The sequence below is a fragment of the Homo sapiens genome, chromosome 18 (genome assembly GCF_000001405.40).
Source record: "Homo sapiens chromosome 18, GRCh38.p14 Primary Assembly".
NCBI classification, from domain to species: Eukaryota; Metazoa; Chordata; class Mammalia; order Primates; family Hominidae; genus Homo; species Homo sapiens.
In genome coordinates, this window is record NC_000018.10 from 9,080,785 (window position 1) to 9,108,694 (window position 27,910).

At 41.0% G+C, this 27,910-nt stretch overlaps 1 protein-coding gene across 2 annotated transcripts in view, besides 5 other annotated features; it reads left to right on the forward strand.

The window, feature by feature from the left end:
- Positions 14,569-14,658: an enhancer, noted in NCBI's record as "active region_13067". NCBI's record gives its function as "activates an Ori minimal core promoter by ATAC-STARR-seq in GM12878 lymphoblastoid cells {active_cell/tissue: GM12878}" and the evidence as "EXISTENCE:reporter gene assay evidence [ECO:0000049][PMID:35858748]".
- Positions 14,709-14,778: an enhancer, noted in NCBI's record as "active region_13068". NCBI's record gives its function as "activates an Ori minimal core promoter by ATAC-STARR-seq in GM12878 lymphoblastoid cells {active_cell/tissue: GM12878}" and the evidence as "EXISTENCE:reporter gene assay evidence [ECO:0000049][PMID:35858748]".
- Positions 15,259-15,428: an enhancer, noted in NCBI's record as "active region_13069". NCBI's record gives its function as "activates an Ori minimal core promoter by ATAC-STARR-seq in GM12878 lymphoblastoid cells {active_cell/tissue: GM12878}" and the evidence as "EXISTENCE:reporter gene assay evidence [ECO:0000049][PMID:35858748]".
- Positions 21,643-22,002: a silencer, noted in NCBI's record as "silent region_9277". NCBI's record gives its function as "represses an Ori minimal core promoter by ATAC-STARR-seq in GM12878 lymphoblastoid cells {active_cell/tissue: GM12878}" and the evidence as "EXISTENCE:reporter gene assay evidence [ECO:0000049][PMID:35858748]".
- NDUFV2 (NADH:ubiquinone oxidoreductase core subunit V2) overlaps positions 21,915-27,910 on the forward strand; it is a 31,643-nt gene continuing 25,647 nt past the window's right edge. For both annotated transcript variants that reach the window (XR_243808.4, NM_021074.5), the window contains exon 1: positions 21,915-22,013. Coding sequence is in view for 1 of the 2 variants with exons in the window: in NM_021074.5 (NP_066552.2) it covers positions 21,960-22,013 (54 nt within the window). In the remaining variant the exon portion in view is untranslated. The remainder of the gene's footprint in view (positions 22,014-27,910) is intronic.
- Positions 22,275-22,984: an enhancer, noted in NCBI's record as "NANOG-H3K27ac-H3K4me1 hESC enhancer chr18:9103057-9103766 (GRCh37/hg19 assembly coordinates)". NCBI's record gives its function as "activates a minimal SCP1, AML or CMV promoter by ChIP-STARR-seq in naive H9 embryonic stem cells {active_cell/tissue: H9 hESC(naive)}" and the evidence as "EXISTENCE:reporter gene assay evidence [ECO:0000049][PMID:30033119]".

Here is a 27,910-nt window from a genome sequence, read left to right on the forward strand (position 1 = left end):
AGGCGCCTGCCACCACGCCTGGCTAATTTTTGTATTTTTAGTAGAGACGGGGTTTCACCATGTTGACCAGGCTGGTCTCGAACTCCTGCCCTCAGGTGATCCACACGCCTCGGCCTCCCAAAGTGCTGGGATTACAGGTGTGAGCCACTGTGCCCGGCCGATAAGAGTACCTTTTAAGATTTAATTAAAATTTGCTTGAGGCTTCTTCCCAAGCTCTGTGAGGGGTCTAATTATTTCCCTGGGTTTATGTTAATTCCTGAGGTTTTGCAGACACATGTTCACTTCCAGTTCCACAATCCTGCTCTTGCTGAATGCACGCCTCTCTTGGTGTCTACTTCTGCTGTTGTCATCCTTTTCTGCTCTGGGACAATCTCGTTCTGGAACTCAACCTCTTTTCTTTGATTTATCCCAAACCACTTTCCCAAGGCAAAGGCTTGTACAATCCCATATCTGTATCTTTAATTTTTCTCCCCTCTCCTCTCTTTTTTTTTAATTAATTTTTTTAATTTAATTTTTTTTTTGAGACCAGTTTCTGGAAGTTACACTCTTTGACCCAGGCTGGAGTGCAGTGGTGCGAGCTAGGCTCACTGCAGCCTCCACCTCCTGGGTTCAAGCAATTCTCCTGCCTCAGTCTCCTGAGTAGCTGGGATTACAGGCATGTGCCACCATGCCCAGCTAATTTTTTAAATATTTTTAGTAGAGACGGGATTTCGCCATGGTGGCCAGGCTGGTTTCGAACTCCTGACCTCAAGTGATCCGCCTGCCTTGGCCTCCCAAAGTGCTGGGATAACAGGCATGAGCCACCGCGCCCGGCTCCCTCTCTTCTCTTGACTGTTCTACTCCCACTCACAAATTATTGTTGATGTTTAGATGTGGAGTGGTTTAGCTATAACTTTGCTATCTTATATTCTTTCATCCAGTGGCCCCAGGGTCTTTCCACCCACAAGTGGCTAATCAAGGCATTTTTCCAGACAAAGACAGTTCTCTAAGAGGAACTTTGGTATAAATTCTTTAAAGTATATATATGTGTGTGTGTGTGTGTGTGTGTGTGTGTGTATGCACATATACACATCTATACACACAAACACGTACATATATACACATATATAATATATATGCATATACATACATCATATATCATGCATTGTAGATATGTATATAATATATAAAGTATACAGATAATTACATGAATACATATTTATTTATTTATTTTATTCATTTATTTTTGAGACAGGGTCTCAACTCTGTCACCCAGGCTGGAGTGCAGTGATGCAATCTTGGCTCACTGCAACCACCACCTCTTGGGTTCAAGCAATCCTCCCACCTCAGCCTTCCGAGTAACTGGGACCACAGGCACGTGTCACTATGACTGGCTAATTTGTATTTTTGGTAGAGACATGTTGCCCATGCTGGCGCATAAATACATACGTATTTAAATCTATATACATATTATATGTATACACACACACACATATATATATACTCCACTGCATAGATTCAGTCATCTACACATCTAAACCACCTTTACTGTGGAATTAGTGAACTCTTTAGCTCCTCCCTTAGTCTGTTTCTTATTCTCATCTTTATTTCTCATTAAACTGATTATAATATATAAATATATTTCTTATATTTATCTCATCTTTATTTCTTATTCTCACCATCATTTTATTTCTGCATTGCCATACACCTTTCTTTCTGATTAAAATTAATCCCATCCAGTTTGCACTGTTGAGTTTATAAAATGGGAGACTGGAAATATCTGTTCAGTCACACACTGATTCAATCATACATTCATTCAACATACAATAATTGAGCACCTACAATAGAATACCATATTGGGTCCTATAGAAGAGACGGATAAAAGGGAGGGGGTCCATGCCTTCAGAAACTTAAAATCCAGCTGGATGTGCAACACTTAACACACACGAAACAAAGCATCCTCAAATGCACAATTCTCATCAGAGGAACAGCAAATTAGAGCAGAAAGCTAAAGCTTTGCCATGCACACCAATGCTGCTATATCAGCAGAATGAGCAGGAGGGGGAGAAAAGCCACTGTGGTTAAAAGAAACTGCTGGCCTATGGATTTTTTTAAATTACAATTTGCATGCTCTTCTAACAGTGTTAGTTCTGCTTAGGTGGCAGAGTGGCTTTCCTGAAAGTATGAGCTCAGCCTTGTCTTATGCCTGTTTAAAGAAAGAGGTCAGGTAAAGTGATTGTAGTAATAGCACCAAGCTGGTTGAAAACCACAGTATCTCTCAGATGGCACCAAAAACACCCACACGATGGAAAATTTTTGCCTGCTAAAAGCCGCTTGAAGTTGTTTCAGAAACACATATGAGCAGTATTTGCTCTTCTCCTTGGGAGTGTTCTCGAGGAAAACAGCTTTCCAAACTTAACATGTTAAGGTAGTAGAACAGTCTAGTGGCCTGAGTGAATTTTGGATTGAGCAGCAAGTGGGCCTTGAGTATTCAGGTAGCAAGTGGTCAAGGAGAATTTGGAGCTGGTCAGTGCCTGGCTAAACTGCATGTGCCTTGAAGAGAAGTCCTTCAGATCCACCTGTGTCTACACAAATTCATGAGTGACTGGTGCCGTGAATTCAGTCCCACTAACGCACCAGCTGTGCTTTTTGGTAGTTGTTTCCTTTTCTTGGCAATTTGGTTTTAGGTTGTGTCAAAAGGGGAAGACACAGAACTGAGACAAGGCAAAATTATAAGACATGTATCTTATTTTTTAGCTTCTCTATATCACTATATTTGAGGTGAAGGATTTAATCCTTATATAGCTCTTCCAAATCTCTTCATACAGTACCACAATTTATAACTGAACTCTATACTGAATAATCATTTAAAGCATTTTAAACTACCTTGGAAGAGAAATGAGTAATGACTCAATATATTTGCAAAAACCCATACTGTATCTATTGTAGGATGTCTACATAAAAACTGAATAACCCCATCAGTGTTCATTTGACATCAAAGTGGACCTAGGGGCAGAAAACAAAAGGACTCTCATCTTAAGGGCTGATAAATGTAGTCTATGTGTGGTATTGATAATTTTTTTAATTCACAGATCAAATATATTTTAATGTACACATGGAAGAATTTAACTATGAAGTTCATGAAGAATGGCAAGTATTAACATACTGAAAGATGGTATTCATGTGCAGGAGAAAGATAATCATCTGTTTCTCAATGATGGCAACATGCAATAAATGACTTCCTTCCGTAGAACCTCCAAATTAGAGTAATTCGTGTATTTCCCGTTTCACATTCTAGGAAAGTAAGTTATATCATGCTTTTCTAAGAACTGGTTGTTTTTCCTTGCATACTTCTATGACAAAATTTAAAATAATTTATTTGTAAGAGGATATACTGATGGTCTTAATTTGAAAACATTTAGTGAGATGTACCTGGCATACTAGATGTGATACTAAAAGAACTTGTGGGGCCGGGCACAGTGGCTCATGCCTGTAATCCCAGCACTTTGGGAGGCCGAGGCTGGCAGATCACCTGAGGTTGGGAGTTCGAGACCAGCCTGACTGACATGCAGAAACCCCGTCTCTAGTAAAAATACAAAAATTAGCCAGGCATGGTGGTGCATGCCTGTAATCCCAGCTACTCAGGAAGCTGAAGCAGGATAATTGCTTGAACCCTGGAGGCAGAGGTTGCGGTGAGCCAAGATCGTGCCACTGCACTCCAGCCTGGGCAACAAGAGCGAGACTCCGTCTCAAAAAAAAAAAAAAAGAAAAGAAAAGAAAGAAAGAAAACTTGTGGCCAGGAGAGGTGGCTCACGCCTGTAATTCCGGGTGTCTCTGGCTCTGGCTCTGTCTCTCTTGCCCAGGCTGGAGTGCAGTGGCGTGATCTCAGCTCACTGCAACCTCCACTTCCCGGGTTCAAGTGATTCTCTTGCCTCAGCCTCCTGAGTAGCTGGGACTACAGGCACGTGCCACCATGCCCGGCTAATTTTTTTGTATTTTTAGTAGAGATGGGGTTTCACAGTGTTAGCCAGGATCTTCTCGATCTCCTGACCTCGTAATCTGCCTGCCTTGGCCTCCCAAAGTGTGCTGGGATTACAGGCGTGAGCCACCATGCCTGGCCTCCGGTGATTTTTAATATATTTCTCTCTCTCTCTCTCTCTACATACATACATATATATATATATATATATATATATATATATATATATGTATGTATGTATGTATATATGTGCGTGTGTGTGTGTGTGCGTGTCTGTGTGTGTGTGTGTGTGTGTGTGTGTGTGTGTGTGTGTGTGTGTGTATATATTTTTTTTTCTGAGACAGAGTCTTGCTCTGTTGCCCAGGCTGAAGTGCAGTGGTGTGATCTCAGCTCACTGCAACCTCCACCTCCTGGGTTTAAGCGATTCTCCTGCTTCAGCCTCCTGAGTAGCTGGAACTACAGGCATGCACAGCCACGCCCTGCTAATTTTTGTATTTTTAGTAGAGACAGGGTTTTGCAATGTTGGCCAGGTTGGTCTCAAACTCCTGAGCTCAAGCAATCCATCAGCCTCGGCCTCCCAAAGTGCTGGGATTACAGGTGTGTGCCACCATGCCCATCCAATTATTATTTGAATTTTAACAATGATCATTACTTCTATCATCAGAAAGACCCATTAAAGATATTTCCATTGTAAAAATAACTGCATAGAAAAAATTGGCTTCCTATACTTAAATAAATAATATTAGATCCATAACGGACACTATTCACAGGTAAGTTACAGATAGAACTGTAGAAAATATATAAAACGAACACTTTATATTATTATAAGATTATCTTCATGACCTTGAATGAAGCAAAACGTCTTCTTTTAAGACAAGGTGTCACTCTGTCACTGAGGCTAGATTGCAGAGGCACAATCACAGCTCACTGCAGCCGCTACCTCATGGGCCCACGCAATCCTTCCACCTTACTTTCTGGAGTAGCTGGGACTAGGCGTGTGGTGAGCTACCAGGCCTGGGTATTTTATTATTACTATTTTTTGTTGAAACAGGGTGTCCCTATGTTGCCCAGGGTGGTCTCGAATTCCTGGACTCAAGCGATCTCCCCACCTCTGCCTCCAAAGTGCTGGGATTACAGGTGTGAGCCACCACACCCAGCCAATTTCAAATTTTATTTTAGATTAAGGGGTACATGTGCAGGTTCATTATATGAGTGTATTGCATGATAGTATGAATCATCGCATTACCCGGGTAGTGAGCATAGTACCAAATAGGTAGCTTTTGAGCCCTCGACCCCCCTCCCTCTCTCCCATATCAAGTAGTCCTCAGTGTCTACTGTTCCTTCCCATCTTTATGTTCATGTGTACCCAATGTTTAGCTCCTATTTGTGAGAACATGTGGTATCTTGTTTTCTGTTCCTGCATGAATTCACTTAGGATAATGACCAGCTGTATCCATGTTGCTTCAAATAACGAGATTTCATTCTTTTTTATGGCTGCATAGTATTCCATGGTATATATGTACCATATTTTCTTTACACAATACACTGTTGATAGGTATGTCAGTTGATTCCATGTCTTTGTTATTGTGACTAGTTTAAGCAAATTTTCTTAACACAGAAAAGACATGAATCATAAAGGAAAAGTTCTTTTTTGAGACAGGGTCTCACAGTGTGTCAGCTCACTGCAACCTCTGCTACCTGGGCTCAAGTGATCCTCTTGCCTCAGCCTCCCAAGCAGCTGGAACCACAGACATGCACCACCATGCCTGGCTTTTTTTTTTTTTTGTATTTTTGGTAGAGACAGGGTTTTACCATGGTGCTCAGGGTGGTCTCAAATCCTGAGCTCAAGTGATTTGCCCTCCTTGGCCTCCCAAAGTGCTGGGATTATAGGCCTGATCCACCACACCTGGCCTATAAAGGGAAAGATTTATAAATTTGCTTGTATTTTAGAGATGACACTAAAATTAAAAACTTAATTTAAAATTGAAGTTACAATACAAGCCACAGAACCAAGAAAAGGTATAACATGTATAACAAAGTATTAGTTACAAGGGAAACATTAATAAGCAAAAAAATTTTGTTTAATAAGCAAAAAAAATTTTGTTTAATGGGCAAAAATGTGAACAGGAAGCGGAAAAGGAAAACAAAATCACCAAAATCACAAAAGTGTGCTCAGCCTCACTGTAATTAGAGAAAAAAATTAAAATGAGATACCATGGTATGTACATCTGATTATCTACAATATTTATCCAGACAATATGAGATGTTGAAAAGGATGTAGAAAATAGGAACTTACATATTCTAGTAGTGGGAGTGAAAACTAGTACAGCCATTTTGATATTGAATTACTGATACCTAACAAAAATGTATGTTATGACCCAGAAAATCTTTTTCTATAGAAACTTGCAAATATTTGCACAGATGACATCTATAGAAAGTTGGAAACAATCTACAAGTCTATCAATAGGGAAATGAAAAATAAAGTGAAAATTCCCAAGAACATTGAATCAGCAGTTGATGCTGGATGTGGTGGTGTGCACCTGTAGCCCCAGCTACTTGGGAGGCTGAGGTGGGAGGATCCCTTGGGCGCAGGAGTTCAAGGCAGCGGTGAGCTATGATTGTGCCACTGTACTCCAGCCTGGGCAACAGAGCAAGAAAAAGCAAACAAAAAATCCCCAGCAGTTTAAAACATGAACCAGGTCTCTAGGTACTGATGTTATTAACAAAGATCACCAAAAAAATCATTGAGAAGAAAAAAAAGCAGGTTGCAAAAATATTTCCATAGTGTGATAAAATTGTTTTAATTGTAAAAACACCATATATATTGATAATGGATACATAGAAAATAATAAAGAGAATCATATACTAAAGGAAACTATTAGTTATTGTCTCTAGGGAGAAAAGTGGAGGAAAGTAATTTAAAAAGGTAGCAAAATGGACCTGATCTGAATATTATGTCACTTTTATTTAAAAAAAATAAAAGCAGCTGGGGATGGTGATTCACGCCTGTAATCCCAGCACTTTGGGAGGCCGAGGCAGGTGGATCACCTGAGGTCAGGAGTTCAAGACCAGCCTGGCCAACATGGTGAAACCCCATCTCTACTAAAAATACAATAATTAGCTGGGAGTGGTGGTGCGTGCCTGTAATCCCAGCTACTAGGGAGGCCGAGGCAGGAGAATCACTTGAACCTGTGAGGTAGAGGTTGCAGTGAGCCAAGACTGTGCCACTGCATTCCAGCCTGGGCAACAGAGTAAGACTCTGTCTCAAAAATAAATAAATAAATAAGTGAAAGCATATTGCAAAAAATAACAGTGGTGTGTTTAGACTCTTGCTGCTGTTCCCCATAGATCCTGACAAGCCTCCTCTCTGCCCTCTGACCACCGAGCTGCAGAGCTCCGGAGCTGCAGGAGGAGGACCTGCAGGGCCTGTGGGTGCAACTGTACACTAGTAAGCATGGGGATAGAGCAGGGCTCTAACTTCAATTTCCATTTACAGTCATGACATGCAAAAAACATTACTTGATGCCCAGCATGAAGCTCACTCACAGACACCCTGAAAATAGTCACTGATCGCACTGGAGCAAAAAAACAGCTTTCAGCCTGAGGAAGATCACATTGAGAGAAGTTGAAAGCATTTTGAAGAAAAACTCAGATTGGACACAGATTAGTCAAGTTGGTCTGAAAGTATCCCCTTGTCTTAGTCTGTTCCTGCTGCTGTAACAAAATACCACAGACTGGGTAATTCGTAAAGAACAGAAACTTACTCTCATAGTCCTGGAGGCTGGGAAGTTCGAGATCAAGGTGCCAACATATTCAGTGTCTGCTGAAGGTCCAGTCTCCACTTCCACAATGGCGCCTTGTTGCTGCATCCTCCAGAGTGGACAAACACTGTGTCCTCACATAACGGAATGGATAGGAGGCAAAAGGGCCTAAGCTAGTACCTTCCACCCCTTTTATAAGGCATGAATCTATATCTTGATGGGGAAGCCCTCATGACTTTATCACATCTCACATCCAAAAACCCTGAGTCTTAATACAACCATAATCTGAATTATGTTTCAAGATGAATTTTGGAAGGGTAACATTCAAACCATAGCACTTCCCAGAAGATAACTTCTTTAAACAAACATACAAAGCACACAGCATCTCTCAGCGTGAACAACACGTGTTATGATGAAAGGGTGTTTCTTTCTTTCTTTCTTTTTCTTTCTTTCTTTCTTTCTTTCTTTCTTTCTCTCTCTCTCTCTTCTTTTCTTCTTTCCTTCCTTCCTTCCTTCCTTCCTTCCTTCCTTCCTTCCTTCCTTCCTTCCTTCTTTCTTTCTTTCTTTCTTTCAGACAGGGCCTCCCTCTGTCATCCAGGCTAGAGTGCAGTGGCATGATCATGGATCACTGCAACCTCCACCTCCCAGGCTCAAGCAATCCTCCCGCCCCAGCCTCCCAAGTAGCTGGGACCACAGGCATGCACCACTGTGGCTGGCTACCTTTTTTTTTTTTTTTTTTGTAGAGACAGGATCTCGCTATGTTGCCCAGGATGGTCTTGAACCCCTGGGCTCAAGTGATCCCCCCACCTCAGCCTCCCAAAATGCTGGGATTACAGGCACTGCACCTGGCCAAAAGGGTGTATTTTCTAAAAAGAATTTTTGAAGGTGTTTCTTCCATCTCTGCTTCTGTCTCACCTGCTGGCCCTTGGATTGGGGATCTACGTCAGGGAAAGCGTCTGACGACATCAATCAGTACCTTCAGATGAAGAATTGAAATCTGACTTGGTTCACACAGTGGAGGCTATCTACTGAAAACTGCACCTAACTCTGCTTTTTATTATTTTTTAAGCAGAAACTAGGAAACCAAGGTACAACTCCACAGTCGAATTTATGCACTAAAATGTGTTTGCTGATTTGTGTGCTCTTAGAATCAGCTTTCTTTTACGCAAGGCTGTGTCTGTCAAGAGACTGGAAATAGAAAAAAATAAATCTTTGCTAAATTCTTCAGAGATTACAATATTTGCATATAGTTTAAAACAAAACCTTATAAAAGGCTTTTTGATTAAACCAGAAAAAAAAAGTTGTTTACTTAAAAATAAACACTTGCACTTCCCCAGTGTTACTAGGCCCCTTGCAGGCTTGGTTTGAGTGGCTAGAGCTGGAGCCAGTTGCAGCAGTAAAAGTGACCCATATTTTTTGACTTTTCTTTTTTTTTTTTTGAGACGGAGTCTCGCTCTGTCGCCCAGGCTGGAGTGCAGTGGCGCGATCTCGGCTCACTGCAAGCTCCACCTCCCGGGTTCACGCCATTCTCCTGCCTCAGCCTCCCGAGTATCTGGGACTATAGGCGCCCGCCACCACACCTGGCTAATTTTTTGTATTTTTAGTAGAGATGGGGTTTCACCATGTTGGCTTTTGCCATTTAAGAGCTGGGAGGGTTTAGGAGGTTAAGAGGCCACAACAAAACCATAGTCACTTCCTTGGGACTTCACTGGACCTTGCCTGACAGAAATGGGGCTTGTGGAATGACTTAAGCCTTCCTCCAGCTTTGCCGAAGGAAATCGAGCTCTGTGTTGATTTATAGTTGTTAGCCACTCTTTTATTTGTCAGTATTCTAAAAACTGTTGGGAAGCCTACATCATTAAAAAATATTATCTGTCAGACCAAAGATATGGAAAGTCGTTTTTGTTTTGTTTTATTTGTTTGTTTGTTTGAGAAATGTACAGCTTAAGAATTTTGTCTCCTAGATTTCTTGGTCAGTTTAAGGACATTTGATGCAAGTGTTGTGATTTAAATAGCCACATTTCCCAGAAAGCTCCTGTGTTTTTTGTAACCTCCTCTCTTTTCTAACAGGCCTAATACAAAGTTAGCCTCATACGTGTGAGTCCTGGAAATAGAACATTCAGCAGATTCTATGTAGCAATTACTATCTGGGACACCAACAGATATGTACTCCTGGTGCTATCTGGCAGACCCCTGGAGTCAGGGCTGAAAACACTGGCATACTGGCCAGCATCCGTCTTAACTTGTTAGCACCCGAACCTTACCAGGAGTTCAGCATTGTGAATATTACTCTGGCCCAGGAGGTCATTATTGCCCCAGGTGCATGGGTCTTGGCATGTTTAGTGCCTCAGCACTGAAATCTGGCTTTGGACCCTTTCTACTCCACAGCTTTTCCAGCCTTTCTCTTCTCATTGTCAGGCTATTTTCTTCGTCCTCACCCTTTAACTCACACCGTCTCTAGGACCCATCAAACCTTAGGCAGGAATTATTTGAACCTCTCTTCTCATCACCCTGGATGTAATGCCAATTCTCCAGGAGGGAAAACATGACCTGACACCCTGAAGACCTCTCCATCCCACCCCCTGCACCCCACCTCTCTGGAACACATGCATGCACACACACTCACGTACACTCCATGGCTCTTGCAATGGGCCAGCCTGCTTAACATCCCTGGTGATGATGCCTAAGTCACACAGTTTTCTCTGACTTCTGTCTGAAAAGCATCATCTTCAGCAAAAGTGGTCGGCTGGTAAGAGGAAGTAACGTAAGAAAGGATATGATAGGGTTCTTTGATCAATCATGTTTCTGAGAACATCATTATCTTCTATCTGTATTCAAAGCAAGTTCTGATTCTAGTGGAAAGCGTGGCCTCTCAGAGCTATCCTTGCTTACTCAGACATAGAAGTGATACACTGACCTCATGTGCTCTCTTCATATTTACATCATTAAAATTCTACCACAACCCATCTTATAAGTCTGCCTATCATGTGTTCTTACCGCCTGGCTATAATAGGTGCTGAATAATATTTGTTATTTTGAATGCGTATTATTCCCAAGACAACAAAACAAGTTGAAAGATTGCTCTGTAGCAACACAAATATCAGATTTCAGAGGGGGCAGACCATGAATAGGAGAGTTTGGGGTTATAAATTTCTTTTTTTTTTTTTTTTTTTTTTTTTTTTGAGACGGAGTCTCTCTTTGTCACCCAGGCTGGAGTGCAGTGGTGCGATCTCAGCTCACTGCAAGCTCCACCTCCTGGGTTCATGCCATTCTCCCGCCTCAGCCTCCCGAGTAGCTGAGACTACAGGTGCCCACCACCACACCCGGCTAATTTTGTTTTTTTTTTTTTTGTATTTTTAGTAGAGACAGGGTTTCACCATGTTAGCCAGGATGGTCTTGATCTCCTGACCTTGTGATCCACCCACCTCTGCCTCCCAAAGTCTTGGGATTACAGGTGTGAGCCACTGTGCCTCGTTATAAATTTCATATTCTTTAGCAGACAAGTCCACTATGAACCCAGTCATGTACTAATAACTAGACTGTGAGCTCCGTGAGGGCAAGACTATATCCAATATCTTGACATCTTCAATACTCAGTGTACCCTTCCCTGACACATGAAAGAAACTTGGAAAACATTAAAGGGATTGAGGAATGGTCTAGTGAATGACAAAATCTATCCCTCTTATCCCATGTCCCAGGGTACACGTTTAACAAAATATTATGAAATTTAGAAAGTGGTCATAAAAAGAGGAAATTTACTATTGCAAGATTTTTTTTTTTTTTTTCAGATAGAGTCACCCTCTGTCGCCCAGGCTGGAGTGCAGTGGCATGATCTTGGCTCACTGCAACCTCCACCTCCCAGGTTCAAGCGATTCTCCTGCCTCAGCCTCCTGAGTAGCTGGGATTATAGATGTGTGCCACCACACCTGGCTAATTTTTGTATTTTTAGTAGAGACGGGGTCTCACCCTATTGGCCAGGCTGGTGTCGATCTCCTGACCTTGTGATCCACCCGCCTTGGCCTCCCAAAGTGCTGGGATTACAAGCGTGAGCCACCGCGCCCAGCCTATTTCAGGAATACTTGATTAAATGAATGTCAACAAGGCTTTCCCCCTGTTGGCCCTGCCTATCTTCATTTTTCAATAATACTTTTCAAAATGCAAATCTGAGAAAACCTATAATGTGGACAAACAGAAACTGTATCCAGTAAAATCTGCACTTGCCAGGACGGTCGGATGAGCCTTTAGAGCCCAGACATTGTGCAAATAGAATGTGAATCTAGGTTTATCTAGTGAGGTCAACCAGCAGGCATTTAGGAACTGCATATGCTCTGGGGAGTAGTGTCCACAGAGATTCAGAGTCAAAGTTCAGCAGAAGAGGAAATTCCTCTGAAAATTTGTGTAAAATTGTCCTCACTACACAAGGACAGCTATAAAATTTTGTAAGCTCCTACAAGTCTGGGACTGCAGTGGGTTTAAGAATGTGTCCATTGTTTTAGCATTTACCTCAGATGAAATGCTGGTTAGAACAGGAAGTTCACTAGTTCAACCATTGTGGAAGACAGTGTGGCGATTCCTCAAGGATCTAGAACTAGAAATACCATTTGACCCAGCCATCCCATTACTGGGTATATACCCAAAGGATTATAAATCATGCTGCTATAAAGACACATGCACTTGTATGTTTATTGCAGCACTATTCACATTAGCAAAGACTTGGAACCAACCCAAATGTCCAACAATGATAGACTGGATTAAGAAAATGTGGCACATATACACCATGGAATACTATGCAGCCATAAAAATGGATGAGTTCATGTCCTTTGTAAGGACGTGGATGAAGCTGGAAACCATCATTCTGGGCAAACTATCGCAAGGACAGAAAACCAAACACCTCATGTTCTCACTCATAGGTGGAAATTGAACAATGAGAACACTTGGACACAGGGTGGGGAACATCACACACCGGGGCCTGTTGTGAGATGGGGGGAGGGGGGAGGGATAGCATTAGGAGAAATACCTAATGTAAATGACGAGTTAATGGGTGCAGCACACCAACATGGCACATGTATACATATGTAACAAACCTGCACGTTGTGCACATGTACCCTAGAGCTTAAAGTATTAAAAAAAAAGTATAATTGACAAAAAAAAAAGTGAAGGAAAAAAATAAATATTTTTAAACATGCAAAATTGTTTAAAAAAAAAGAAAAGGAAGTTCATTTATTAAGAGAAATTACTCCTTGGTTTCAAACTAAAATACTTACCCTCATTCATTCTTTCTCTTCTTCCTTCTTTTCCTCTCTCTTTCTCTCCTTCTTCTTCTTTCTCCTCCTTCCCACCTCTCTTTCTTTCTCCTTCTCTCTTTCGTTTCCAGCTTTCTTTCAGTACATATATGTACTGTTTTCCTGGGAAATTCCATAAAAATGACAAAGATTTTCTGAGTGGTTCTCTTATTTTTAAGCAAAATCAATATTCACAAAGATAGCCTACTTGCATAACCCGATTAAGCCTCAGTTGGAGTAAACTGATTTTTTTTTTTTTTTGACACAGGCTTTCATTTCTGTTGCCCAAGATGGAGAGCAGTGGCATGATCATAGCTCACTGCAGCCTCAAACTCCTGGGATCAAGCAATCCTCCCACCTCAGCCTCCCAAGTAGCTGGGACTACAGGCATATGCCATCATGCCTGGATAATTTTTAAATTTTTTGTAGAGACGGAGTCTCACAATGTTGCCTAGGCTGATGGTAAATTCCTGGCCTCAAGTGATCCTCCCACTTCAGCTTCCCAAAATACTGGGATTACAGGCACGAGCCACCATGCCTGGCCAATATTTTTAATAGATAATTTCATATTGCGTTTCATGACTCTTCTTATTTAGATACACCATGACACTTGTTGCTGGAGGCCTTTAGCTAAACTTGGAATTTCTGTAACCACTGTACATGTTTATTAAATGATGCTAGCCCTACCACTTTCCATTCCCCTGCGTCACATGCTTACACAAAGTCAAATTGGCCTGCTATGGTTATCTTAGAAGCCAGCCTTTCACACCCTGCTGTAGGTATGGTCCCTGAGAAAGTAAGGGCAGACTCTCTTTCCTTTGATAAATTTGTCTATCATCTCTGTCTTAGGAGGAGTGATTTCCTGATTCTATACATGTAAGATATTTGTGGAAAGTCACAAACATTACTGGCCAATTCAACATTCTTATTCCGTTTTGGGTGACTTAAACCATACATATTAACACTAGCATTCCTTAGATGTTGATAGATGAGTAAGAATCAGATTGTGCACTTCATAAGTACAATGGGGTGGTAGTGGTGGGGTGCGGGGGGAGGTTACCAAGAACTACGGATACTGCAAAACAAATCCCTTAAGTAAATAGTGGAAAATGATAGTTTATTTTAAGCCCTTTGAAAAGTTGAAAAATGATGCAAAAGGAAAGAACTCGTCTGTTCTTAGTCAGCTTTTGACCTTTGACTATATAAACATAAGAAACACATGAGCTAGAGCTAGGTAACTAAGCAGGACTTCTCTGCCAGCCAGATGAGCAAAATGAATCTTCCCATTAAGGTTTATAGAGCACCACTACACAAAACTATCACACTCAATAATTTATTCATGAAGAAGGTGGTTGCTAAGATCTTGGCATTCTCAGTAACTTTTTATTTTTTAACCTATAAAATGAGGAGATTGGACAAGATGTTTTCTAGTCTTTCCTTCTCTAAAATGTTGATACCAGGACCCACCAAGTCAGGCTATCTCAGAATCCACACAATAGTTCCTGTCATTCCACTGCTCTCATAGCAAAGCCCCTTATTATCTGGCTTGAAAGTTCTGTCGTATGTCATCTTGCCATTAGCACGCAACAATTCACACACATAGTATGCAAGGCCCTGCCAAAAGCATCCACGAAGGACGATGAAAGCCTCCGCACCAACATCATGTGCCTCTGTTACTATGCACTGAAATGACCTGGCAGGAAGTGGGCCCCAGAGGAAGAAGGGGAACAACGACTCCTCTAACCTTTATTATCAGAATCTGTTTAGGTTTGTTATGTGCCACCTTGACCTTCTAACTGCTCTATAGCAATGCTTATCTTTCATTTCTTTCAGGTGAAAACATACCTCCAAGAAACCCTATTTATGGCAAATTCCTGTGTAACCTTCAAGTGTTACACGCCCTGTGACATCTGACATCCCCAGTAAGACTTTGGGATTCCTTCCTCTCTAAGTTCCCAATTCATGTTGCACATACACTCGTATTATAATCTTTTCCCTGCCAGCATGTAAGGTCTTCCCAGGAAGGGCTATGTCTTTTGCCTTTGTATCTCCAGTGCCCTAGTGCCTGGCATATAAGAGGAGCTGAACATATATTTGCATAGTAAATGAATAAATGAAAGTCTTTTCTGACCAGTTTCATCCTGCTCCGACCACTCTTTCATTATACAGCTTAGACTATTTACATCTCACCACACAAGCATACACAGCAAATGAACCACTGAGATGCAATATGATTTTTCTTAGTCAAGGAATATTTTAACGTGCAAGAAAATTGACTATTTAAAGAAACTTTACATGAATATTTTTGTAACTGGTCAAGGAAGACATGAATTCAAATATTTACAGGGATTTTAAGAAGCAGCCTGAGGGAGGGAGTCCAGAGCTATTTCTTCTGTCTAGAATGAAAACTGCCCGAAGAGTCTAAGAACTGGCCCATTTCCCTCTTCTCAGCCCACACTCCTCAATACCCTAAATTCAAACCCGAATAAAAATTAATAGCAATCAAAAGAAGTATACTCTAAAGAGGTTTATATCCACTAAAAAGAAATGAATATAAAAGAGAATTATTCAATTTTTCACTTTTATTTTTCCTTTATTAGACTATTTCTCAAAATGAACATAGCTTTGTTTTTTCTTACCATAAAGTAGCATGTGTTAATTGAAATAAAATCAGGCAATACAAAAAGCATAAAGAAAAAAATGAAAATTACCTTTAATGCCATCACTCAGAGAGAACTCTCATTAACATTTTACCTTTCCATATTTTTTCCTATGCATATACAGAAAATGTAGTAATGTTATATGTGATGTTTTGTAATCTTTTTTTTATTAAGTTGCCACACATTATGGGCATCTTTTCTTTACAATAAATATTTTCATTATTATTTTTAAATCTGCAGAGCAATATCCCATTGTATGGCTGTACTGTTATTTAATAAATTCTCTACCGATGTCATTTATATAGCTTCCAGGTTTTCAGTATTACAAATAACACCATGATAAACATTTTTGTATACTTTTTCAGTTACTTCCTTAGGATAAATTCATATTAAGAAACCGAACACATATTGCCAAATTACCCTCTCCAGAGGCTGATCTTATCACACTCCTACCATCACCAATGAGAGCATGTAGCTCCACACATTACCAACAACAGTGATCAGCAATTTGCAAATCTATCAGGCAAGAATTACATTCATTGTTGTTTAATTACTTTGACTACTTGCTAGGGAAGCATGGATCAAATTCTGATAGAAAATTTCACTTCAGCTGCAGAAGCTGCTAGGATCAGTCCCATGTTGGGGAAGTAACGAGCGATGTGAATCTGATAATGGCTTAGGTGACGTTCTGCTTATATTATTTTTTTAAAACAATCTGTTCTTGAAGTCTATGTAATTAAGTTACTGGCTGTTTTGATTTTCATTTTCCCTTTTGGTCTCGAATATGCAAGAATAACTTGAGAAGAATCTGAAAGAATCATGCAGAACTCACTCGCTAACCTCACGTCCCCCCTCACCTCAATGTGAAATGGGTCTAACACTTCAGTTTACCAATGTGACCGGATCATTCTTCTTTACATGCTCCAATTTCCTGCTGGAAATACTTCTCTCTCTCTCTGTCTCTCACCCAGCAGTAACCTTATCCCATTTTTCCCTTCCATTGAGTTTTGACTTTATACCAACTGGCTCCCTTTCCCTGCAAAGCAGGACTGGGCCTGCAGCTCACATTTTTCATTAGAAAACCCAGCAAGGCAGGCACGTCAGTATTGTTATGTGAGGGCATGCTGAGAGCCAGAGTGCACGATCTACCTGTGGCTGCTTTAATAAGTAGGATGTGACTTAGGAGTTAATCACAATTTAGAAAGCCTGACTAAAGTGTTCCATAGATGGAGCAGACAAGTTGTTAGATACTGAAAAAAAAACAAAAAACAAAAACAAAAACCCAAAGCTTTTCTGAACTCTTACTGTGTACCAGGCACCATGTTCATCATTTTCCATAAACTGAATGATTTAATGTTCTAATTATACTTTCAGAAACTGAGAACCAAAGCTTCACAAAGGCGAGTAAGTGACGAGGTCAGAATTCAAATCCAATTACAAAGCTCATGATTTTCATTACACCACGTCCTTGATAGTGCCTATGTGTGATGGTTTAAATGGCTAAGAAATCAAGAATGAGAGAGTCAAAGTTCCCACATTTGGTCATCCCTGTAGACTTTATTCTAGCTCCCCCAGCCTCCAGTCCCTCACTCCCCACCCCCAACACCCACACATTCTTTATTTAATGGCTTGACCACTATAGTTAGGGCCAATTTCCCTGGGCTTATGGTACTAGTGCCAACTTAGAATAGTGGAATATATCAAACCAGGCAGCCATGATGTTCACTATGGGTTCATTACATAATCAAGCCAATTTCAATCAAGCTTGTAGGGTTAGGTCAGTAACTTGAAATCATCGATGTCCATGCTGGTCTGTGTCCAGAAATAATGACTTTGATAGTGGGAGGAAGAAGAGGAATTTTCCAAACAGCCCCCACAATTCTATCCTAAGGACTCTGAGAATAGTTGATTGCACATGAGGCTACTTTATAAGTGGAGTGGCTCCAGAAATTAACTTACGTTACTGGGTGTAAAAGATATCCATTCTGACATTCTCACTTAATAAATATTTGGGCTAAGGATAAGCCAAAGTCATGCTGGACATTAACAAGTCTTTTGACTTGGTGAACAGTGTGGTGCCACACTTACTGGCAGTTGAATTGAAATAAAGTTGAATTGAACTAAAAGCATCTTACTTTCTGTAACATCTTCAAGAAGGTGTTAACAGGTTAGACACTCCCTTAGCACACATCCTTAATGTTTTAAACATTACTCTTTGCACTTTTTGGTTCTGTTCCTAGGTAATAGAAATTGGGGGCACCTGGTAAGTCCTTGATTAGTGTCAGGCACCAGTGGGATATACACTTTCTCTATAGGTCATGAACTCAAAAAGACGGTGGTCTACTGTGGATGATCCCGTTAGTTGCCTACCTAGATTTACTTCTTCAGCCCCTTCCTTGCTGGCAGAGCTATTTTGTTCAGGAGCTAATGGGCCCCAAACTAGCCCTTCCATTCTCCTTTCTGATTAGTGGCTTAATTATCTTAATATTGTAATGTTCTATTCTGATGATGGTGATGATGATGATGAAGGCTAACACTTACTAAGCATTTACTCTGTGCTAGGTACTTTTTAAAGAACTTTAAAAGGTATCAACTCATTTCGATACAGGAGTTAAGAAGAAATTGCTTAGGCAGATAGTGAGGGTATGGGAGTCCTCAGTAAGGTTTCCCTTTTAATAAAAAGCAGCCGCCAATCATTTTCTTTTCTAACAAAGAGCAGCCTGTAAAATCGAGCTGCAGACAGACAAGCAAACTAGGAGCTTGCACAGGTGAATTCTGGCAGTTGTGCCCATAGGAATATACTACCTGGGATGAGGCATGTTCAAAGTGGCGGCCCCATCTTCTCTTTTTGCCAGCAACGTGTACAGTAAGGAGCAGACTAGATGGCACTGCCCAAGTGGAAAGCCCATTTGTATAATAAGATTAGGGTTGGGAGACCAGCCTTCCCCTTGCTACATAAACGTTACACCTGGTCAAACCAATCTGTGAGCCCTACATAAATCAGACACTGCCTCCTCAAACCTGCTTATAAAATCTGCTGTGGTCCGCCCATGTCCCTTTTTTCAGACGTCTTACAAGGAGCTGCTCTCCTCTCCCCTTTCTTCTGGCTATTAAACTTTCCGCTCCTTAACCCACCCACATGTGTCCCTTTCCTTAATCCTCTTGGCAGGAGATGCTGAACCCTGGATATTTACTCCAGACGGTGATGCCACTTCAATTTCATTCTTGTAAACCAAAAGAGATAGTTCTCAATCAATTTAGAAAGTTTATTTTGCCAAGCTTAAGGACGCACCCTGACATAGCCTCAGGAGGTCCTGCCGACCTGTGCCCAAGGTGGTTGGGGTACATCTTGCTTTTATACATTTTAGGGAGACATGAGACATCAATCAATATGTGTAAGATGTACATCTGTTCACTTCGGTAAGGCGAGACAACTTGAGGGAGAGCTTCCAAATCCTAAGTAGATAAGAGACAGAAGGTTGCATTCTTTTGAGTCCTTGATCAGCCCTCCACTGAATACAAAATTTAGTCTGGCTCAGTGCATTTGCATTTTTACATGAACAATAGGGCAGAGAAAGCAATCAGATATGCTCTTGTCTCACGCAAGCCTCAGAGGGATGACATCGAGATCTGTCTGTACTTTGTCCGTAAGGAATTTTCTTGTGGGCAAATTGTGAGGGAGGTATGTAGCTTTTTATCTTTGTAGCTATCTTATTTAGGAAAAAAATGGGAGGTAGGTTTACCTGACATAGTTCCCAGCTTGTCTTTTCCCTTGGCTTAGTGATTTGGGGGTCCCGAGATTTATTTTCCTTTCACATTCTCCTAATAAAGCCATGAGGAAGGTACCATTATTAAACCAAAGCCCAGAGAGACTAACTTGCCTAAAGTCACGCAGCTAGAAAGCAGCAGCTGAACCCCCGTAGTCTGATTCTAGAGTATTCCCTCTTAACCACTATGTCTTGTAAGCCAATGAGACAAGAAGGCTGCTGGAGGAACATCTGGGACACTTTAGAGGTAAGAGTTCTTTTTCTTCTTTGGAATGTTGTCATTTGTACATGATACTTGGAACTGCTGCAGATATCTTGTGTCTATAATAGGAGTCACGGCTGAGTATGTTGGAGTAAAAAGATGGAAGCCACTAAACATTTTGAAGACATCCTTGAGCAAGGTTGAATTAACTAACCTTGGAGCTACTCTACCTCTGGAATTGTTTTTCATGTGAGAAAATGAACCCAGTATCCTTTAATCTACTTGTTAGAACTCCTGTTACTTGTAGCGAAAAGCACTCTCACCGATACACATAGAAACAAGCATAATTCTGACCTAAGACAAATAGAAATGAGCATAATTCTAACCCTTTTAGGTAGGCAGAATATTTGCACTATGGGCAAGATTTTCATTCAGACAACAAATATTTATTGAATGCCTTCTACTTGCCAAGTATAGTGCAAGTTGCTGAACCAAACAATATAGGAAGGGCAGGTTTCTCCATCCATGGAGGTTATAATCTGGTCGTAAATGTAGTAGTGAAAGTGCGGGCAGGCATATTTTGGGACGGTATCTTGAGGACTAATCTGGATTGGGAGTCAGAGAATGCCCTAATAAAATCCAGTAAAAGCATGCATTACAGATTCAAAAAGAATCCATATAATGTCTATCTCATCCATCAAGTATTTGTGACATGTTTTGGCTTTAGTTGTATAAGAACAGTAAGTATGTGCACAATAGTGTTAGGTGTATAAGTATTTTTATTTTTTATTTTTTATTTTTGAGACGGAGTCTCGCTCCGTCGCCCAGGCTGGAGTGCAGTGGCGCGATCTCGGCTCACTGCAAGCTCCGCCTCCCGGGTTCACGCCATTCCCCTGCCTCAGCCTCCCGAGTAGCTGGGACTACAGGCGCCTGCCACCATGCCCGGCTAATGTCTTGTATTTTCAGTAGAGACGGGGTTTCACCGTATTAGCCAGGATGGTCTCGATCTCCTGACCTCGTGATCTGCCCACCTCAGCCTCCCAAAGTGCTGGGATTACAGGCGTGAGCCACGCGCCCGGCCAGGTGTATAAGTATTTAGGTAACTTTATAACAAAATACATTTACATTAAGGGCCAGACTGTCTTTTCCTTTTAAAGGGAAATACTGAAGCTAATTTAGGAGAGGCAAACTAACATAAAATATAAGGCAAAGGAGTGGGAACCAAGGCATTTGGTATCTATTTCTAGCTCACTGGGCAGCAGTCCTCTGTGTCTTGAATTCTGTGATTTGCGAAATATGATTCATAGGGGTTGCAATGGAATATTTCTGAGTTTTTAAACTAATGAGGGATAAATTTTTAAAATCCCTGTGCTGCTGTGAATGTTCTAGAAATTATTCACAAGTTTATTATAGCAAAGAAAATGGGCAAAAGGAAGGGGGTGGGTACAGGACGTGACACTCCAGAAAAGAAGGCAGTGACGTAAAAAATCAAGAGGAAGTCCACACCAGGAAATAGTGCTGTGCACATTAGAGCTGTTACTGAATAAATACTTGTTGGAATTTCCAGAGATAACCAAACAAACATGAAGAAGGAAGTGGGTTTTTTTTTCAGCTTTATTATGGAAAATATCTAATATGTACAAAAGTACCGAGAATAGTAAATAAGAACGACCATGCAGCTTCTATGGCCTTACTTAACGGCCAACTTGCTTTATTTTTCACCTCCCGCTCCCCACTATTCTCAAGCAAATTCCAGACATCATACCATTTAACCCCTAAATATGTCGCACATATCTCTAATGCAAAAGATTGGGAACCAAGACATTTGGTGTCTATGGCTAGCACACTGGATAGCAGCCCTCTGTGTCTTGAATTCGTAACATGTAGAATAAGATTTATAGTGGGTTGCAACCCGACTTTATTTTTAACTAACAGCAATATAAGAGGAGGTGGCTAATCCTCACAAGGCTCTCCATGAGGGAAGCTCACCCCTATAAATCCAGGCGGGCGCTTCGTTACCCAGGAGCCCAAGGTGCAGCTCCGGGACGCTTCTTTTCAAGGCCGGGACCCCTGCAGCGGCCCGTAGGACACCTCCCTTTCCGAGCACGGACTGGTCCCCGCCCCTCCCCCGGGAAGTCTCCGCCCACAGGGCCCCAGCAGCCCCCGCGCGCCCTCGCTCCCTCCCGTCAGCCCCCGCCCCTCGGCGAAGGGAGCGGCGTGCCGTCCGGGTCGCCTAGGCCTGGGGTCGGGAGCGCGCACGCTGTGCGCCCTGGGCGCGCTCGGGATTCTCGCCTGGCGCGGCTGGGGAAGGTGAACAGTGTGGCCCGCCATGTTCTTCTCCGCGGCGCTCCGGGCCCGGGCGGCTGGCCTCACCGCCCACTGGGTAAGGAGGCTCAAGCTGAGCCCGGCGCTGCCGCCGCCCTTCTCTTGCTCTCCGTGTCTCCCTTAGTTTTGGGCGCAGGAGAGCCCTGGGCTCTGCACGGGCCTGCAGGCGGCGGCAAGGACACTGCGGCCTTAGCCCTCTTAGGGAGGCCGCTGCAGCCCCACCGTGAGAAGCCCCGAGGGAGGGTTGCCATACTGGGAAGTGTACTCCTAGTTTGGTCGAGGAGGACAGAAAAGAGGGGCTGCTTGGTGATATATATATATATGTTTGTTTGTTTTTGCTGTTTTGCTGTAGCGCAGAATCTAGGCCTGCTCTGGCCAGATCAGTTTCGAAGACCGTCGCTCCGAAGGAGGCACCTCTCGTTTCAAGCCTAGTGACCTCGATGCTTTTAGGTTGCAGCATACTGGAGAGCTCTGGCTTGCTTCGTGAAGGCTTAGGGAGAACTTCATTAGGGCTGGAAAAGGGTGGCCAATGTTTGATTTACTGCAGTTGTGCTTTGCATATCGGAAATGCTGGCTAAATAAACGGTATCAAACTAACTCTGAAAGAACGGCGCCGCAAATAACAGCACCCAATTAAAGAACCACAGGATTTTAGAGATTAAATGATCTTTTTGAGATCCAAGTACATCTCATGGTAGGCAAGGAAATTGAATTGCAGAGAAGTTGAAACACTCCTTCACGTTAATCTAAAAATGCAGATTTCCAGAAATGTCGATTATAACAACAGGGCCTGTTACACAAGTAATACTGGAAAGAAGCCTTAGTTTTGTTTGTTTTCTAAGAGTGAAATAGGTTAAGTCAGTTCTCAGCAAGAGGGAGCTAGTGTATATTCATTGAGAATGAATTCAGGGCTTTAGAGTTAGACTCGAGTTTGGATGTTAGCTTAACTGCCTTTTGTGGCTCTATGACTTTGTGCTGTTAATCTTCCTCAGTTTCTTCAGTTGTAAAATGGGAATATTCCTTTTTGCAGAGTTCAGTCTTTCAATAAACATTTGAAGTCTTACTGTACGTCATGCACTGCTGAGCTCTAGTTAACAGTGTGGATAATAATGATAGTCATTTGATAACTGTTTTCTGTATGCCAAGCACCGAGTTAAATATCTACATTCCACATCTCATTTTTGAGGCTGGTATTACTTTTTCCTCATATTACAGATAAGGAAAAGATTTAGACAGTTCCCGTTCTTTTGGAATTGATAGTCTCATGTAAGAGGAACTTTAAGGTTGAGACAATGTAAAAGTACAGTGTTAGAGAGATGAATAGGGTCATCCAATGTGGTTTCAAGGTGCATAAGATTTTTCCTGAAGGTAATACTAACAGATTGGGCATGGGGTCCGAGGGTATTCTAGGTGGAAAGGACAACTTAAAGTCTTGTTGGCAAGAAAAAGATCGGTATGTATGAGAAGCCACCCTCTGCTGTTGGAGGTAAGGTGTGTTCCCAAATGAAATAAGGGAGAGACAGGGGCCAGATATTGGAGCTCCTGGCGTGCCATACTAAAGAATTTGATTTTAGAGGCCGTCAGGAGTCAGTGAAAGGTTTTAAAGTAGAGGAATAAGATGTGGTTTCTGTTTTGGATAGGTCACTGGATAGGACTGAGGGTGGAATGGGTTTGATTTGGACCCAGAAACAGGGAGACTAAGTAGATAAGAGGCTCTTGCAGAATGCTAGGTGAAAGATGATGAGGATCAGACATGGTAGAAAGAAAAGAAATTAGAGTGCTTGTAGATTTTGTTTCTTTTGTTTTTGAGGCAAAGGGGCTAGAAGTATAAATTGAAAAGCAGTTTTAATGAAAAAGAACAACTTGAGGTAGTGGAGGACCATTGTAATCCAGGTTTAATGTTTCTGGAACTCTCTTTCTCTCCCTCCCTCCTTCCTTCCTTCTCTCTCTCCATCCGTCTCCCCTTCTCCCTCCCCCTTCCACCCTCCCCCCTTTTTTAAACAAATAGTACCTGATATGCACTATGTACACAATAAATATTTGAGTTGATGAATAAGTTTAATTTTTATTACACACGTCATACGTGTGTAGAAAAAACAATACTGAGACTAGCAAGTAGAGTAAGCTCAAAAAATAAAAATCATCCATTGTCTTGTCAACCTGGAAATTACCATTGTTAACATTTTGATGTCTACACATAACAGACCTTACAGACAATTTGTTTCTACAAAAATGGAAAGGTATTTATACTGTTTGGTAGCCTGCTCTTTTGTAATGTATTCTGAACAGCTTTCCTTATCAGTAGACATTTCTATACTGTCATTTTAATGCTACATAGCATTCCATTGTGAGGATGTTCTATTACTTATACAACCAGGCCCTTCTAACCTTTCACAAGTAGTGAGATTTCACATTAAACCTAGCAAGTATCAAGAAAAGTACAAGAAAAGTCTACCTAAGTTCCTTTCCTAAATGAGAAACCTTTAAAGATTATTTACGCTTTCAAAGAAATTGCCTAATCTAATTTCTGCTTTGCTAGCTGCCATTCTCTTGACGAGGCTTTTCAGCTCATCATTGCTTAAAATATGGCTAGAATTAAGTATTAGTTTGTGTGATCTTGAGCCATCTTAATCTCTTTGAGCCTCATTTTTCTTTTCTGTAAACTGAGATAATACCTCATAGGTGATTGTAGTAATTGACTAAAAGTTATAAATTATGGAGTAATAGATAATCAGAATAAGTTTATTCCCTTCTTCAGTAATTGCCCATGGTTTTTCTGTAATGTTGATGCCACTTTAGAACTTATCACTGCCTCATTCCCAAGCTGCTATTGTAGTTTCGAAGGTGAGAGGGTTGTGGTGGCATTTTCAATTACAGATGCTCCTTTACTTACAATGAGATGACATCCTGATTAAACCCATTGTAAATTGAAAGTATGTAAATTTCAGTTTACAGTGGGGTTATCTGGACTTAATCGAGGAGCATGCTGAATACTTATCATTTTCATACAGTTGTAAAGTTGGGAATTTGCAAGACAGGCAATTGTAAGTCAGCGACCCATCTGTATTGTGTATTTTTTCATTCATCGAGGATATTTTCCTTTATGTCTTTAGGCATGATTATAGCTGTCCTGAAGTTTGTGTCTGGTAATCTTAGTTGATTTTTTTCTTGAAAATGTGTTTTCCTTTTTTGTTTGTTTCCCATATGTTGAACAATTTTGGATTGTATGCTGAATTTTGTGAATGATACGTTGTAGAGGCTCTAGATCCTGTTTTATTCCTCCAAATAGTGTGTTTTGTTGTTGCTATCCATATCCCTTGTGGGCAGCAGATCAAATATTGGTTCCGTTCTTTTAGCTAGGCTCCTTGGAGTCTGCAGCATGTACATGCATGGTTCAGGGTTCAGCCAGAGATTTCCGTAGAATTTATATACAGAATGTATAGGGCTCCCTCCCCCTTTCTGGCTCTTCCTTTTCTAGGATTTCCCACTTTACCATGTCTGTTGTTCCAAACTCTCACTGAGGCCTGCCTTCAGGCTAAAAGATGTGAAGAAAAAACAAAAACCTCATTGGTTTTTTATGAATGTAGACTCCCCTTCTGTGTCTGCCTGTTTGGTTGTTCCCCAGTGCCTTCAGAAAGCTTTTGTTTTTATAAAATATTTTGTCCAGAGTTTATAGTTATTATTCAGTGGTTTGCCCTGACAGTGTCTACTTAGCCATACTAGAAGTATGCCATCTTGTGTGGTGGTACTTTTCCTTCCAAATTTTAAGTTTTGTACAATGAAATGTTTTCCCCATTCCATTAGAGATTCTTAAACTTGATTTTGTAATGTCCCAGTGTATCTCCATTGTGACTCAAAGGACTCTAAAGAAGTTAATGTAGGAAAAACACCCCAAAACATTTAGTTTTTTATTCCTGCTGTAACAAATTTCCACAAAACTTTGTGGCATAAAACATTATATTTTTAACCTTACAGTTCTGTAGGTTAAAAGTGACACAGGTCTCAGTGGGCTAAAATTAAAGTGTAGCCCGAGCTTCATTCCTTTTTGGAGGCTCTAGAGGTGAATGTCTTTTCTTGGCTTTTCCAGCTTCTAGAGGCTGCTCTTGGCCCCTTCTTTCATCTCCAAAGCCAGCAAAGGCAAGTCTAGTTCTTATATCACATCACTTCGACCCTCCTGGCATTCATCACATATCCTTCCTTGCCTCTTGGTAAGAACCCTGTGATTGATGACATTGGGCCCACCTAGATAATCCAGGATAATCTCCCTATTTTAAGGTCGGCTGATTAGCAGCCTTAATTCTCTTTTGTTGTGTAAACTAATACTCACAGGTTTCCAGGATTAGGATGTGGTTATCTTTGAGAGACCATTATTCTGCCTGCCATAGCCATAAATTAGCAGTTTAAGGAGAGAGAGAATGAACAAACTTTAGTTTATGCAGTGAGGTTCAGTAGGCCACTATTGCAAACTGCAGACTCGGATCTTTTTATTAGAGACTTGAACTCAGTTTCCATTTCAAAGTAATAAAAAGTTGACTTTCCTTTCTCTTTGGGCACTGTTTAGTACCTTAGTGCTCAGAACATTGAGTAATAAATTACAGGTCTGTTGCCCATGCTGTATAACCTATTGAGTGACAGTCAGTCTGATTTTCCAATGAGGAACCTTGTCACTAGTTTTTGAATCAGTTCAGGAAGCATGTTATAAATCAGTTGTAGGAAATGTCTTTCATTACAAAACATCAAAGACAGTTTACACACATTTTGGTTAGGGGGAAGGTGGCTTTATCTGTCGGATATTTTGCTAGGTGTTACCCCATTTTATGTGTGAGATATATGAAGATTGCTGGACAAATAAATGCCCAAGATCACACAGTAGTAAGGGCTGGGTTTATTCGCAAGTCCTGTTTTGTTTTGTTTTTAATCTACCTTTCTGAAGTTGCTCAAACAATTGAAGTTGCTAAGGGAAATCACTATGTATGGTGAAGATTTAAATTTAATAGGCACTCTAATAATAAAAGGTGTACCAGTGTAAGCAGACTAGGGAAATGATTTCACTTTGCTTAGGGAAAAGAGATGGAGGTTTAGGGGCTTTAAAGGGGTAGGAGATGGAGGTTTAGGGGCTTTAAAGGGGTAAGAGGAGGAGGTTAACCTTGGTCATGATGGATGAGTGGAAGGTGTAAGTTGAGATAATGCTGTAGGTATAGCTAGCTACATATACAAAGACACTGAAGTGCATGAGGTGAGACTGAACCCCGGGTCCACTGGATGGGCATTTCATTTCTATAAATTATTCTTGTCCTTAGAACAATTGGTTGTTGCTTATATCCATGTGGGATTTTAGATATCTAAAGAATGTTTTCTTTAATATATGGTCAAGATGGCTGGAATCATTAATGCTGTTATCTTAATCTGTAATGCACAGTGCCTGTAATACCTGGGCTCTTCATGCAGCTTTTCTATAATATAAAATTTAGCCAAATTACATTTGTTAATTCTCTCATAGTATGGTAAAAATTACTTACATTTTAACCTGAATTAACATTTTTAGGTAAATTACTGATGGAACTTTATTTGGAGGATGTTTGTAAAAGTCCTCCTATTTCTATCTGAAAATACAGCAAAACTTAAATTTTAGTGGTTAAGGCATGTACTGAAGTCAGGAAAATCTGTATGTGGCATTTCATTTATTTAGCTGTGTGAGCTAGGGAAAGTTTTTCCCCCTTCTTTGAGCCTTAATTTTCTCACCTGTAAAACAAGATAATAATACCTACTTGGTAGGCTTGCTGAGAGGAATAAATGGATTATAGTGTAGATTTGTAGTTTATAGCATGAGATCTGACATAGAGTAAGCATTTGTATTTATGATTATCCTTGAAATAGATTTCACAATTATTAACCCAGCATCAACTTTGTTAAAATAAAATGCACTGAAAAACTTTTGTTTTTCATGGAATTTTT